The sequence below is a fragment of the Homo sapiens genome, chromosome X, assembly GCF_000001405.40.
Source record: "Homo sapiens chromosome X, GRCh38.p14 Primary Assembly".
Taxonomy (NCBI): domain Eukaryota; kingdom Metazoa; phylum Chordata; class Mammalia; order Primates; family Hominidae; genus Homo; species Homo sapiens.
In genome coordinates, this window is record NC_000023.11 from 83,790,442 (window position 1) to 83,807,963 (window position 17,522).

Below are 17,522 nucleotides of genomic sequence, written 5' to 3' on the forward strand. Positions count from 1 at the left end.
TACGCCGCACTATACTAAATAGTCCTAACTTACATTTACAGAATTTTTCACTCAACTTCTGCAAAAAAACATATTTTTAATCTGCCTATATAACATTTTCCAGAATAGACTGTATCTCAGGTCACGAAACAAGTATGAACAAATTCACAAAAGTGGAAATCATATCAAGTATATTTTTGACCAAGAAGGAATAAAACTAGTAGTCAATAACAAAAGGAATCTCAGAAACAACACAAACACATGAAAATTAATCAACATAATCCTAAATGACAAATGAATCAATGAAGAAATTAAGAAGAAAACTTAAAAAATTTATAAAACACACGAAATGAAAATATAACATATCAAAATTATAGGATACAGCAAAAACAATACTAAAAGAGAAATATATAAATAAACATCTATATAAAGAAAGTAGAAAGACTTAAAGCAACCTAAAAATACACCTTAAGGAAGAAGATAAGTGAGAACAAACCAAAAACAAAATTAGCAGAAGAAAATAAATAATAAAAACCAGAGTAGAAATAAATAAAATTGAGATAAAACAATACTACAAAAGATTAATAAAATGAAAACTTTACTTTTTGAAAAGATAAAGTTGACAAATCTTTACCTAGAATAACTGAAAAAAAAAGAAGACTCAAATAAATAAAATCAAAAACAAAAAAAGAGACAGAGCAAGTGACAGTGCAGAAATGCAAAGAACCACTAGAGACTACTATGGACAACTATACACCAAGAAATTCAAAAACATAGAAGAAATGGGTGATTTTCTAAACACGTACAACCTACCAAGATTAAACCTTAAAAAATGAAAAACCTCAATAAACCAAAAACAATTAATGAGATCATAGCTATAATAAAAAGTCTCCCAACAAAGAAGAATTGATGGCTTCACTACTGAACTCTACCAAACTTAAAACACAAAAACGAATGCTGATTCTACTCACATTGCTACAGAGAACAACATTAAGGTAATACTTCTAAGCTCTTTTTATGAGACCAACATTACCGTAATAACGAAGCCAAACAAAGATGTCGCAATTAAAGGAAGCTACAGACAAATATCTTTAATGTACATAGATTCACAAATTTTTAACAAAATACTAGCAAACAAAATTCAACAACACATTAAAAAGGTCATTTACCATAATTAAGTGGGATTAAACCCAGGGATCCCAGGATGGTTCAATATACACAAATTAATAAACATGATACACCACATTAAGAAACCAAGGGAAAAAAAAGTGATGATTTTAATAGATGCAAAAAAAAGCATTCCATAAAATTCAACACCCTTTATGATAAAATTTCTGAATAAACTGGGTATAGAAGGAACATTCCTCAAAGTAATGAAGGCTATATATGACAAATCTATGACTAACATCATAATGAATGAGGAAAATTTGATAGGCTTTTCTCTAAGATGTGGAACAAGATAAAGATGCACACTTTCACCATTTTTATTCTGCATAACACTGGAAATTCTAGCTAGAGCAATTAGGTAGGAGAAAGAAATAAAAGGTATTCAAATTGGAAAGGAAGAAGTCAAATTACTCTTGTTCACAGATGACATGATCTTATATTTAGAAAAAAATAAATCTCTGGCCAGGCACAGTGGCTCACGTCTGTAATCCCAGCACTTTGGGAGGTTGGGGTGGGCAGATCACGAGGTCAAGAGATTGAGACTATCCTGGCCAACATGGTGAAACCCTGTCTCTACTAAAAATACAAAAATTAGCTGGGTGTGGTGATGCACACCTGTAGTCCCAGCTACTCAGGAGGCTGTGCAGGAGAGTCGCTTGAACCCTGGAGCTGAAGGTTGCAGTGAGCCATGATCCACCACTGCACTCCAGCCTGGCAACAGAGCGAGACTCCAAAAACTCCATCAAAAATTATTATATTTAATGAATGATTTTAGTAAAGTTGCAGAATACAAAATCAACATCAGCAGCACTTACATACATGAACAGTGAACAATCTAAAAAGAAATCAATAAAGCAGTCTTACAATAGATACAGAGAATAAGAAATACCTAAAAAGTCATTTAACCAAAGTGAAAGATCTGTACAAGAATAATGATAAAACACTGATGAAAGTAATTGAAGAGAGCACACACACAAATGAAACATAGTCCATGCTCATAGTTGAAAAAAAATGTATATTGTTAAAATGTCATTTAAAACTCAAGGCAATTTATAGACTTGATGCAATCCTTATCAAAGGATAAATGACATTCTTTAAAGATATAGAAAAAAATTACAAAATTTACATGGAACCACAAAAGACTTTGAACAGACTAAACAATCCTGAGCAAAAATAACAAAGCTGGAGGCATTATACTATCTGGCTTCAAAACATACCACAAATCTATAGTAATCAACTCAGCATGGTACTGGCATAAAATCAGACTCATTGACCAACGAAACAAAGCAGCAAACCAAGACAAAAATCCATGCATTTACAGCCAACTCACTTTTTTTTCAAAGCATGAAGAACATACAATGGGGAAAGGACAATGTCGTTATAAATGGTGCTGAGAAAACATGATAACCATATGCAGAATAAGATAGAAACCTATCTCTCATCACTTACAAAAAAATTAAATAAAAATGAATTAAAGACTTAAATGTAACACCTCAAACTATGAAACTACTAAAAGAAACATTGGCAAAATGTTCCTGGACATTGGTGCAGGCAAATATATTTTTGTGTGTAAAACCTCAAAAGTACAGGCAATCAAAGTAAAAATATGTATAGGATTACATCAGGCTAAAGAGCTTCTGCACAGCAAAGGAAACAATCAACAAAGTGAAGAGACAATCCACAGAATGGGAGAAAATATTTGCAATCTATTAATATGACAAGGGATTAATACTCAAAATATAGAAGGAACTCAAACCACTCAGTAGCAAAAATCTGATTTTAAAATGGGAAAATATCTAAATAGACATTTCTTAAAAGATGACATACAAATGACTATCAGGTATATAAAAATGCTCAACATCACTAACATTAGAGTAATGCAAATCAAAGCACAATGAGATATTTTCTTACCCCAGTTAAAAATGTTAGGAAGGATATGAAGAAAAGGGAGCTCTCATAAACTGTTGCTGGGAATGTAAATTATTATAGCCACTAAGAAAAACCGTATTGGGGCTCATCAAAAAGCTACAAATGGAACTCCCACATGGTACGTCAATTCCACTACTGGGTATATATCCAAAAGTAAGAAAATAAATATCTCAAAGAGATATATGGATTTTCACATGTATTGCAGCACTATTAATAATAGCTATAATATGGAAGCAACCTAAGTTCCCATAAATGGATAAATATATTAAAATGTCATATATATATATATATATGTATACACACACGTGAAAATATTAGTCATCCATACAAAATAATTAAATTCTGAACATCAGTAAGATGGCATACTAGAGATGCCAGGCACTCATCTCTGCACCTTCCACTCCACACCAGAAAGGACTAGGGCACTGATTAAACAGCTAAGATTTTACTAGAATGTTAAATGGAATGCATTGCAGTGCAGCTAGAGTGGAAAGGGTCCTGTGCTAATTGGAAGGTCAGGAGGGGAGCATAAAGGCACCTGGTCTATGCAGCTCTGTCACTCCAACCTGGATCAGATCAGCCCAGCAACAGGTGGGACTTCCACTTATGGAGAGAAACTAAGCGGTATAACTGAACCAGCCCTCACTGCCACTGCAAATGTCTACAGTCCTTGCAATAAGAGAATCACACAGTCCTCACAAGTCCAGAGCATCGTAAGGAGAACTGCCAGTAATTCACACATTTGCATGGTTCCAGAATAGGAGCACAAGTTATGCATTCCCCATCCCCTACCCAGCCACTGTGAGCCAAGCTGCTGCACCATAGCAAAATCTTGAGACTAGAGCCACCTCTGAAGTATACCTTCACCTCTCCAGCACTGGGGCTCCATGTTCATTCATTCTATCAAGGCCACATGGATGGCTAAGCATCACAAATCAGCTTTGCAGAGCCTGAGCCTAGGGTTAACTTTGACTCCGGCACTTTCCAGCAAGGATACCCACCCCTGACACCTGCCATTTTAAGTCAGAGGAACAGTCTGGTTGTCATTTGCAGAGTGAACTCACCCTTGAGCCAACCAAACCACTGCATACCCTCCCACATGCGAGAGAGACCCTTGAGCCACCAAGCAGATAAAATGCTTGCAGGCCAGGAGAGTGTATATGTGCCTGTGCTTAGGGCAAGATAAATAGCCCTATGGTACCCACTCCACACCCTTTGCATATTCCCATGGCCTGCCCAAAGGCTCACACATGCAATTAGGGCTTAAGAAACAGCCACCTTTGGCTGTCACGACTCCAGGCCAAGCAAAGAGCTATGCACTATGTTCCAGGCTTGAGAAAGGTCATATAAACCACCAGTGGCACACAAACCCAGGCCAGCTGAGAAGATGTGTGCCCATCTCCCAGACCTGAGTACAAACTCTTTGGGTTACCTCGAGCTCACACAACCCCAGGCCAGGTGACAAGCCTTGTGCCCATGTCCCAGGCCTGAGAAAGTTTCACAGGCTTTTCCTGGAAGACATACTCCCAACCCAGCTGAGCAGTTGTGTGCCTGCATCCTGGGCCTGATAAAAAGCTCCATGGGCTGCCCCTGGCAAGTATGCCCCAAGGCAGGCCAAGCAACTGTGCACCTATGCCCAAGCCAGAGTAACAACCCCTTGGCTCCAACCCCAGCAAGCCAGACCCCAAATTGGTTGATCCATGTTCATGCATGCACTCCTGACCAGAGAAACAGCCTGGTGAGCCCACCCACAAAATATCTGCACCATCACTGCCACACCTCTATCAGTGTAGGCCACTGAGACACACACAAATGTCACTAGCATGGATGAGGGCTAAAGAATGTACATAAATATTTCACTGTTGCACTAACCTAGAATGAAGCCAATGCACCCCACTATACCAAGACCCCCCAAACTCATCAAATAATAAATCTTTCCCTACAAAACCTTTTTCATAAAATTGGAAGAGCCAACTGTTTCATCAGATGCATAAAAATCAACATAAGGAAATAACAAACACAAAAAAGCAAGGAAGCATGAAGCCTTCTACATAACACAATAATTATTCAAAAACAGACACCAATCAAAAAAATACACAAAATTTAAGAAAAAATCAAAATACTAATCTTAAGCAAAATCAGTATGGTGCAAGAAAATAAGGAGAGGTGATTTAATGAAATCAGAAAAGTACTTATGATTCAAATAAAACAATTCAACAAAGAAATAGATATCATAAAAAAGAACCAAACAGAAATTCTACAGCTGAAGAGCTCAATGAATTAAAAAAAAAAAAAACCACAATCAAGAGTTTCAAGAACAGACTAGATAAAGTTTAAAAAGTATCTCTGAGTTTGAAGACAGGTATTTTGAAATCACACAGGCAGACAAAAAAGAATAAAGAATAAAAAAGAGACCAGGTGTGGTGGCTCATCCCTGTAATCCCAGCATTTTGGGAGGCTGAGGCAAGCTGATCACCTGAGGTCAGGAGTTGGAGACCAGCCTGGCCAACATGGTGAAACCCCATCTCTACTAAAAATAGAAAAATTAGCCGGGAATGATGGTGCATACCTGTAGTCCAGCTACTCAGGAGGCTGAGGCAGGAGAATCGCTTAAACCTGGGAGGCAGAGGTTGCAGTGAGCCAAGATTGTGCCACTGCATTCCCGCCTGAGGCTCCATCTCAAAGAAATAAAAATAAAAAATAAAAAATAATGAAGAAAGCCTACAGGATTTATGGGACATCATCAAGCAAAGAAATATCTACAAGATACGTATTCCAGAAAAAGAAAAGAAGAAAGAAAAAAAGATGTATAAAACATACTTGATGAAATAATAGCTAAAATCTTTTCAAGTCTTCATTGAGAAATGGACATCCAGATCCAGGAAGCTCAAAGAATAACAAATAGACTCCAAATAAATCTTTTCTGAGGCATGTTAGAATCAGTGTCACAAGTCAAAGAAATAAGAAAAATTATAAAAACATCAGGAATGAGAAGTGACATCAAATGTAAGGGAATCCTCATCAGACTAATAGCAGGTTTCTCAGCAGAAATCTTACAGACCCAGAAAGAATGGGATGATATATTCAAGCCACTGAATGAATAAAAATTCTAGCCAAGAATATTATATCCAGCTAACCTAGCCTTCATAAATGGAAAAGAAATAAAATCTTTCACAGACAAGCAAAAACTAAGGGAATTCATCACCACCAGACTGGCCTTACAAGAAATGTTCAAAAGAGTCTTACATCTCAAAGTGAAAAGATGATAACAACCATCATGAAAACACATGAATCTATGAAACTCACTGGAAGTTATAAAATACACAAAGGAGAAAGAGAATCAGATATTATCATTACATAAAAACACCCAATCACAAAATTAAACTATAAAGAGGAAGTTCAGATAAAAAAGATATACAAAACAATGAGAAAACAATCAAAATGACAGTAGTAAGTTCTCACCTAACAATAATAACCTTTAATGTAAGGCTGGGCACAGTGGCTCACGCCTGTAATCCCAGCACTTTGGGAGACCAAGGCAGGTGAATCACTTGATGTCAGGAGTTCGAGACCAGCCTGGCCTACATGGTGAAACCCCATCTCTACTGGAAATACAAAAATTATCTGGGCGTGGTGGCAGGCACCTGTAATCCCAGCTACTCAGGAGGCCAAGGCAGGAGAATCGCTTGAACCCGGGAGGCAGAGGTTGCAGTGAGCCAAGACCGCACCATTGCACTCCAGCCTGGGCAATAAGAGTGAAACTCCATCTCAAAAAAATAATAATAACCTTTAATGTAAGCAAATTAAATTTCTCTTTTAAAAGACAAACTTGCTAAATGAATAAAAATTGTGACCCAACTATATGCTACCTACAAGAAATTCACCCTGTATGGAAGGAAACAGACTGAAAGTGAACGGATGGAAAAAATACTCCATGTAAATGGAAACCAAAAGAAAGCAAGAGTAGCTATATTTATATCAGACAAAACAGACTTTAAGTAAAAAGGTGTCAAAAGGGATCACAAAGGACACTATATGGTAATAAAGGTATCAATTCAGCAAGAGAATATAACAGTTTTATATATATATGCACCCAACATGGGGGCACTCAGATATGTAAAGCAAGTGATATATACTGAGAGAGATAAACCCCAATACAATGATAGTGGGGACATCAACCTCACCTGTGTACTAGTATAGATCATCTGCACAGAAAATCAACAAACATTAGACTAAAACTGCCTCACAGAAAAAAAAAGTGTACCTAACAGACTTATACAGAACATTTCAACAAACAGCTGCAGAACACACATTCTTTCCATCAACACATTGAATAGTCTCCAGCACTCAACATGTATTAACACAAAAAAACTCAGAAACTTTTTAAAATTGAAATTGTGTCAAGTGGCTTATCTGACCACAGTGGAAGAAAACTAGAAATACAAAACAAGAGTATTTGAAACTATACAAATACATGGAAATTAGACAACATGTTTGTGAACATCCAATGGGTCAATGAACAAGTTAAAAATGAAATTTTAAAATATCCTTGAAACAAATGAAAATAAAAAAAGTAAGAAAACCTGTGGAACAGAGCAACAGCAATATTAAGAGGTAAGTTTATAGCAATAAATGCCTACATCAAAAACTAAAAGATTTCAAATAAACAACTTTATGGTGCATTTTAAGGAACTATAAAAGCAAAAGCTTTTATATACTAACCCAAAATTAGTAGAAAAAATAAATAATAAAGATCAGGGCTAAAATAAACAAAATTGCTACAAAAAGTATAAAATATTAGCAAGACAAGTTGGTTTTCTGAAACGATAAACAAAATTGACAAATCATTAGTTAGAGTAACTAAAAACACAGAACAAATCCAAATATAATCAGAAATGAGAAAGGGGGTGCTACAATGGATATCACAGAAATACAAAGGATCATTGGACTACTATGAACAAATGCATATTAACAAATAAATTCAAATCCTTTAGAAAATGGATGAACTTCTGCACACAAACAACTTATCAAGATTGAATGAAGAAACAGAAAATCTGAACAAACCAATAACAAGTACTGAGATTGAATCAGTAACAAAAATTCTCCCATCAAAAAAAGTCCAGGATCAGCAAACTATCGCAAGGAAAAAAAAACATACGCCGCATGTTCTCACTCATGGGTGGGAATTGAACAATGAGGACACATGGACACAGGAAGGGGAACATCACACACCAGGGCCTGTCGTGGGGTGAGGGGAGGAGAGAGGGATAGCATTAGGAGATATACCTAATGTTAAATGACGAGTGAGTTAGTGCAGCACACCAACATGGCACATGTATACATATATAACTAACCTGCACGTTGTGCGCATGTACCCTAAAACTTAAAGTATAATAAAAAAATACTATAGAGCCACAAAAGAGAGTGAAATCCTGTCATTCTTGGCAGTATGAATAGAACTGCATGACATTATTTAAGTAAAGTAAGCCAGGAATGGAAAATTAAATACCTCAAATTCTCCTGATATTTGGAAGTTAAAAATTATTGATTTCATAGAAGTAAAAACTAGAACAGAGGATACTAGATGCTGAAAAGGGTAAGGGGAAGGAAGCTTGGGGAGAAATTTGTTAAAGGATAAAATAATTACAGCTAAATGGCAGAATTAAGTTCAAGCATTCCACAGCACTGTAGGGTGACTATAGTTAACAATAATATATAGTTTAAAATAGCTAGAAAAAAAATATTGGATGTTCCTAACACAAAGAAATAATAAATGTTTGAGATGATGGATATGCTATTTACCTTGATATGTTCACTATACATTATATGTATTAAAAATCACTATGTATCCCATAAATATGTAAATTATTATATGTCAGTTAAAAATAAACAAAAAATGAATGAAATGCTATTATTTGCAGAAATGAGGATGAAACTGGAGGTCATTATGTTAAGTTAAATAAGCCAAGCACAGAAAGACAAATATTATATGTTCTCACTCATATATGAGAACTACAATAGTGAATCTCATGAATATAAAGAGTAGATTAATGCTTACCAGGGGCTGTGAGAAGTCAGGGGGCATGGAGGGAGGTTCATTAATGGGTACGAATACACAGTTAGATAGAAGAAATGAAAGTTAATGTTTGGTAGATCAATAGGGTGACTATAGTTAACAATAATATATTGTAACTTTCAAAATAGCTAGAGGGGAATAATTAAAATGTTCCTATCATAAAGAAAAAATAAATATTTAAAAGTAATGGATATCTAAAATACTCTCATTTGATATTTACACATTATAAAAATGTATCAAATTTTCACATGTTCCCTAAAAATATGTATATCCATTTATGTATCAATAAAAATTAACAAGCCAAAGCCTGTCAAATGTGGTTTAACAATTCAAATTGAAAAAATGTGTCTTCTCATCAAGACCCAGTTGGGGAGGCAATATGTTATAGTATGTCTACTTAGTATATTTCTTAGGAGTTGACCCACTGCAACTTTTATATAGCTATTGAATTGGTAACGTCGAAGTCATAATTAAGTTTTCTTGTCATATTAATAACCTTCAGAATTCAATGAGACTAATAGTACTATATTTTAACAATTTACCTGCATCACAATAAAAGTTGTTTGTTAGGATATTTCATTACAAGGCACTGATGTAATTATAATAGCAGCAAAAAATCAGTATTGACCATAACTACTCAGCTACTAACTCTGCACATCATCTTTGAGCACTAAAAAAATAGTATTGAATCTGCCAGAAGAATATGAACAGCTAGCACCAGGGATAAATCTTCCTGGGATGATGCATTTCTGATATCATATTATACTTTCCCCTCTCTTGTTCCTGTTTTGAACTCAGTATCTATCCTTGTTATAACCTTCTAATATTCTGTCACAATCACTAATTTTTGTTGTTTTGTACTATCTGCACTATAAAGGATGTGCTAGGTATTCAGGTATTTACAATTATAAACTTAACTAACATTTATTTTAAAATAATGGGTACGAGTATACAGTTAGAGAAAATAAATGAAAGTTAGTGTTTGATAGATCAATAGGGTAACTATAGTTAAAATAATCTATTGAACCTTTCTAAAATACATTTTTGGTTAGTTTATAATACACTTTAATAAATGATAAAATAAAATCCATTGTAATAATTTTTAAATAAAAATTTTTTATTTAACTTCAAAAATCAAGCCGAAGTAAAACTTTCAAACGTTTCTGCTCTGTCCTTTTAAATATTTTTTAATGTCTGTAATTTACATATTATATGGCTTATAAAAACATAGAAATAAAATCTCAAAATTCACAACCCTTCCAACTGGAGTTCATTTTCCATAGCAGTAAAAAATGTGACATATTTATCCTTCGCCATACAGAATGAAACAAACAATCCAGAGGTTTATTAGTAGGTTAGGTAAATGGGGCAACTATATCTTTGTTTTAGAGCCTCTTTGATGATGAAATTACTGAGGACAAAAGAGGTAGGCAATGCACCTACAATATGAGATTTCTATAAGAATACCTTAAAATTGCAGAATGTTTTGCCATTTTCAAAGCTCACTAATCAACTTTTTTCTCATGTGACACTTACTAATAGCTCTGTGTTAAGCAACTATCTTCTCTATTTTAGAGATAACATGGAGAAGCTCATGTCTTTGAGATTTTCTCCTTTATTTTCTGGGTATATTGAGGCAAAATAGACAACTAAAAATTATAAATATTGAAGATGTACAATGTGATATTCTGATATATGTTTACATCATGAAATAATTACCTCGATCAAACTAATTAACATATACATCACCTCACACTGTTACCATTTTTTTGTGGTAAAAACATTTAAATTTAACACATTTCAATTATACAATACAGTATTTACTATAGTCACTATGCTGTACATTAGTTTCTCAGAACTTATTTATCCTGCATAAGATTTTGTACACTTTGACCAATAATTCCCTCAGCCCCTACCAACCACCATTCACTCTCTATTTTTATAAATTTGATTTTTTTTTATTTCACATATAACTGAGATCATGCAGCATTTGTCTTTCTTTGCCTGTTTTCCTTCAGTTAGCACAATGCCTTTTAGGTTCGTCTATGTTGTTGCAAATGACAGGATTTCTTTCATTTTAGAGGCTTAATAATATTTATTGTGTACATATGTCACACTTTATTCATTCATCTGTCAATAGACATTTAGATTCACTCAATATTTTGGCTATTGTGAATAATTCCACATGACATAAAAATGCAGATATCTTTTGAGATAGTGTTTTTAATTCTTTTGGATATATAACCAGAAGTGGAGTTGTAGATCACATGATAGTTCTGTTTTTAATTTTTTGAAGAAACTCCATATTATTTTCCATAATAACTGTACCAATTTACATTCCCACCAGCAGCAAACAAGTATTCCCTATTATCCGCATTCTCACCAACATGTATCTTTGGACATTTTGATAACAGCCATCCTAACAGGTGTGAGGGAATATCTCATTGTGGTTTTGATTTGCATTTCCTGAATGATTAGCATTGTTGAGTATTTTTTAAAATATGTGTTGGCCACTTGTATGTCTTCTTTGGAATAATGTCTATTCAGATCCTTTGCCCATTTTTAATTAATTTATTTGTGGTGTTTTAATTTTATTTGTTCTTTAGCTATTAAATTATAGGAATTTCTTCTGTATTTTGGATATTAAACCCTTATCCGATACGTGGTGCTAAGGTATGGACGTGTCCTCCCCCAAAATTCAAGTGTTAGAAACTTAATTCCCAATGCAACATTGCTGGAAGGTGGAGCCTAATAGAAGCTGTATAGAATAGGAGGGCTCTGCCTTTTGATTTCTTATTGGATCCATTGGTTGTTTGTGTGTGATTTAATTTTCACACGGTGTAAAATGCTGCAGTTTTTCTTGTGTTATTAATTTCTAGTGTCATAGCATGGTGGTTGGAAATGATACTTGACATGATTTTAATCTTCTTGAATTTGTTGAGATTTGTTTTGTGCCCTAACTTATGTTCTATCCTGGAAAAAGTTCTGTGTGTGCTTGACAAATACATGTATTCAGCTGGTGCTGTAAGGAATATGTATGTTAGGTCCATTTGTCTAAAGTGAAGGTCAAGTCCATTGTTTCCTTATTGATTTTCTGACTGGATGATCTATCCATTGCTGGATGCAGGGTATTGAATCTCCCTACCATGATTGGATTACCCTCTATTTCTCTCTTCAATTCTGCTAATGTTTGCTTAATAGATTAGGTGCTCTGATATTGGGTTTATATATATTTACCACTGCTGTAGCCTCTTGATCTCTTTGAGTTATCATTTGCATAGAATATCTTTTCTCATCCTTTCACCTTGAGCCTATGTGTGTCCTTAAACCTAAACTGAGTCTCTTGTAAACAACATATAGTTGGATCTTGTTTTCTTTCCATTAAGCCCCTATGTTTTTTGATTGCAGAGTTTATTTACATTCAAGATAATTATTGATATGTAAGGACTTAGCATTACCATTTTGTTAAATTTTTCTGACTGTTTTGTAGTTTCTTTGTTCTCTTCTCTTGTTTTCCTTTTCGATTTAATCATTTTGTGTACTGGTAGGCTTTGATTCCTTTCTGTTTCTCCTGTGTATCTACTGCAGGATTTTTAGTGACATTGCAATGAGGCTTACATACAGCATCCTATAGTGATATCAGTTTATTTTAAGTTGATAACAACTTAATTTTGACATGTCTTTATTTTCTGTTAGTACCATTATAATACATATATTGCAAGTATTTTTGTCTTTCCTTCTAAATTGTGACCTCCACAAAGTCAATGTTAAATTTAACTCTTTAGACTCAGTACCTAACCAGTGTCTAAATGCACAATAAATATTTAGCAATTAAACATGTGAATCAATCAAAGTGTTATGTGGCTGTGAATAGGACCAAATGAATATAATAGGATAATTAATACTAAAACTCAGAACTTCTGATATTTAATCTAATGCTATTTTTACTTATTCAATATGATTCAGGTGTTCATGTCAAGGTTGGATAATAGCTTGGAGAATGTGAGGTCTGAGGGTTCCCAAATCAGGAATTTCCCAGTTGAAACAAATACATAATTGAAAAATATTTAACACTTACTCTATGCCAAACATTATTCTAGGTTTCAGAATTACAGCAATAATGTCTTTGGCATGAGCAGTTTTACGTTCTACTGGAGGAGATATACTGTAAACAAGTTAGTAAATATATGATAGGTCAGGAATAAAAGGAGAATTGGTAGGAGTTGATGTCAGATAATTTGATGGGAGCTAGATCATGTAGGGCCTTGTAGGTCATTGTAAAGATTTAAGTGGGTGAGTAATAACATCTTTGTTGTATTTTTAAGATTGCTCTATTTGCTGTGCAATTATGTGGGGAGCAAAGATAAAAGCAGATAAACCAGTGCAGTAATTCAGATGAGAGATAATGTTGTCTTGAACTAAAATGCAATGGAGATGATGAAGAAAAATGGCATGATAAGAAATGACTATACTTTGAATATATTTAAATGGTAGAAATGACAGCATTGGTTGCAGAATTGAATGTAAGGTTGAGAGAAAGAGGAGTCAATAATTAGCCCTCTCAAAACCTGAGAAAATTGGAGGATTGAGTTTATATTTACTGAGATGAGAAGTGGGACCACCTATTTTGTTTTCTGTATTATGATGATCTGATATCTGGGGTCTTGCTGCCCACAGAAGGACTGCTCCTCTAGGGCTCACCAATTTCTAGAAATAATAAACGAGTTACCTGCAAGAATGCTTTTTAAATGCAAAACAAACAATCCAGAGACCACAACCTCAACCATCTCCTATATTTGGCTCACTCAGGTCCACTATTAATCTACCATAATCACTGTAAGGGCAGGTACCAAACAACTAGGGGCGTCACATTCCTCACATTGTGTTGACATTATTCAAACTAATCAATAGTAAGCCTGTTTACTTTGCCTCACTCATTCCTTCCCATGGAAACCTCAATAAAGGCTCTTGTCTGCACTTTCCCCCGCCCTCTGCCTGCTTACCAAATGAAGGTCCCTTGTCCTCTCAACTCCCTGTCCATGGCATATCATGCCTCCTCCTTTTAGAATCTTTGAAGATAACATACTATCTTTTCAATTATATTCATCTCTTGACCTTTTGGACTTTTTTACCTGAAGAATATTAAAACCCAGACTTTAAAGCCATGAGGAATGTCATTTTGAACATAATTAAAATATGTCATAATTTTGGAGAAATTGGAACCCTTATACCCAGTTGGTGGGAATGCAAAATGTTGTAGCCACTATGGAATACGGTAGGGAGGTTTCTCAAAAATTAAAATAGAACTACCATATGATTCAGCAACCCCATTTCCAGATATTTATCCAAAACAGTTTAAATCAGGATCTCAAAAAGATGTTAGCATACCCATGCTCATTGCAGTACTATTTACAATAGCAAAGATGTAAAAACAACCTGATGGCCATCATCAGATAAATGGGTAAAGAAAACGTGGTATGTATACACACTAGAATACTAGTCAGCCTTTAAGAGAAGAAACTCCTGTCATATGTGACAACATTGATAAACCTGGAGGCCATTATGCTATATAAAACAAGCCAGGAACATGCAGATAAATACAACATGATCTTATATGTGTAATTTAAAAAAGTTTAGCACAGAGAAGCAGAGAGTAAAATGGTAGTTATGAGACATGTGTCTGTTGGGGCATAGTGGTAAAAACAGCAAAATTTCTGTTAGATACTGTTGGGGCATAGTGGTAAAAACAGCAAAATTTCTGTTAGATAGAAGGAATAAGTTCAACAGGCCTATTGTAGAACATGGAGACTATAGTTAATAACAATGTATTGCATTCTTGAAAGTAACTCTAAGAGAGTAGATTCGAGTGTCTGCATTACAAATAACTGACAAGCTTATGAATTAATGCATATGTTAAATATTTTGATTTAGCCATTCCACAACTTATACATTATCTTTTTTTGTCAACTTTTATTTTAGATACAGGGGTGTGAGTGCAGGTTTGTTACATGGGTATATCGCACCTAGGTAGTGATTATAGTACCCAATATATAGATTTTTGCCCCTTCCTTTCCTCTTCTCTCTAGTAGTCTGCAGTGCCTACTGTTTCTATGTTAATGTCAATAGTTGCTGAATATTTAGCTTCCACATGTAAGTGGAAATATGTGGTATTTTGTTCTCTGTTCCTGCATTAATTTCCTTAGGATTATGGCCTCTAGCTCCATCCATGTTGCTCCAAAAGGTTATGATTTTATTCTTTTTTGTGGCTGCATAGTATGCCATGCTGTATATATGCAACTCTTGTTTTATTCCTTCCACCACTAATGGATACCTAGATTGATTCCATGTCTTTGCTATTGTGAATAGTGCAGCAATGTGAGTGCATGCGTCTTTATGGTATAATTATTTATTTTCATTTGGGTGTATACTCAGTAATGGAATTGCTGTGTTGAAGGAATATTCTGTGTTGAATGTTCTGTTTTAAGTTCTTTGAGAAATCATCGAATTTCTTTCTAGCGTGGCTGACCAATTTACATTCCCACCAACAGTATATATGCATTTCCTTGCCTAAATCTTGCCAGATTCTGCTGTTTTTTTACTTTTAATAATAGCCATTCAGACTAATGTGAGATTGTGTATCATTTGGGTTTTGATTAGCATCTCTCTGATGTCTAGTGATGATGGTATTTTTTCATATGTTTGTTGACTGCTTATATGTATTCTTTTGAGAAGTATCCGTTCATATTTTTTGCCCATTTTTTAAAGGGGTTAATTGTATTTTGCTTGTTGACTTGTTTAAGTTTACTACATATTCTGAATATTAAACATTTATTCGATGCATAGTCTGTAGATATTTTCTCCCATTCTGTAGTTTGTCTGTTTCCTCTCTTGATAGTTTTTTTCCCCCCCCTGAGGAAAAACTCTTTATTTTAATTAGGTCTCACTTGTCAATTTCTGTTTTTGTTGCAATTGCTTTGGGGGACTTAGCAAAAATCTCTTTTGACAAGGTCAATGTTGAAAAGGATATTGCCTAGGTAGTCTTCTATGGTTTTATAATTTGAGTTTTTACATTTCAATATTTAATCCAACCTGAATTAATTTTTGTATATGGTGAAACGTAGGTGTCCAGTTACATTATTGTACATATGACTATCTGGTTATCTCAGCACCATTTATTGAAAAGAGGGTTGTTTCCCCATTGCTTTTCTTTTGTCACCCTTGTGAAAGATCAGATGGTTGTAATTATGTGGCTTTATTTGTGACTTTTCTATTCAGTTCCATTGGTCTCTGTATCTGACTTTGTACTAGTATCTTGCTGTTTCTTTTACTATAACATTATAGTATAGTTTGAAGTGTAGTAGTGTGATGCCTCTGGCTTTGTTCTTTTTTCTTAGAATTTCTTTGGCTATTTGTGTTCTTTTTAGGTTTCAGTTGAATTTTAGAATAGTATTATCTAATTCTGTGAAAAATGACATTGGTAGTTTAATAGGAATAGCATTGAATCTGTAAGTTGCTTTAAGCAGTATGGCCATTTTAATGATATTGATTCTTCAAATCCATTAGCATGGGATATTTTTTTCCATTTATTTATGTTGTCTCTGATTTCTTCCAACAGGTTTTTGTAGTTATCCTTATAGAGATTTTTTACCTCTTTGGTTAGCTGTATTGCTGGGTATTTTATTTTCTTTGTGGCTGTTTTAAGTTGAATTGTGTTCTTAATTTGAACACTCAGCCTGTACCTTATTGTTATATAGAAATGCTATTGATTTTGTATCCTAAAAGCTCACCAAAATTATCAGCTCTCCTAGCTTTTTGGCGGAGTCTTTAGGGTTTTTTAAGTATGGTATCATATTGTCAGTGAAGAGAGATAGTTTAACTTCTTTTCCTATCCAGATGCCTCCTATTTCTTTATTTTGCCTGATTGCTCTGGCTAGGACTTTCAGTATTATGTTGAATAGAAGTGGTGAGAGTAGATATCCTCGTGTTTTTCCAATTCTCAAGGAGAACAGCTTCAGCTTTTGACTTTTCAGGATGATTTTGGCTGTGAGTGTGTCGTAGATGGCTCTTATTATTTTGATGTATCAAAATGCCTAGTTTGTTGAAGGCTTTTATTATGCAGTGATGTTGGATTTTATTACAAGCTTTTTTTCTGTATCTATTGAAATGATTGAACATTTTTTGTCTTAATTCTGTTTATGTGGTGAATCACATTTATTGATTCGTGTATGTTGAACTGACCTCACATACCAGGAATGAATCCTACTTGATTGTGGTAAATTAACTTTTTGATGTGATGCTGGATTCAGATTGCTAATATTTCTTTGAGGATTTTTGCATCTATGTTCATCAGGAACATTGGCCTGAAGTTTTC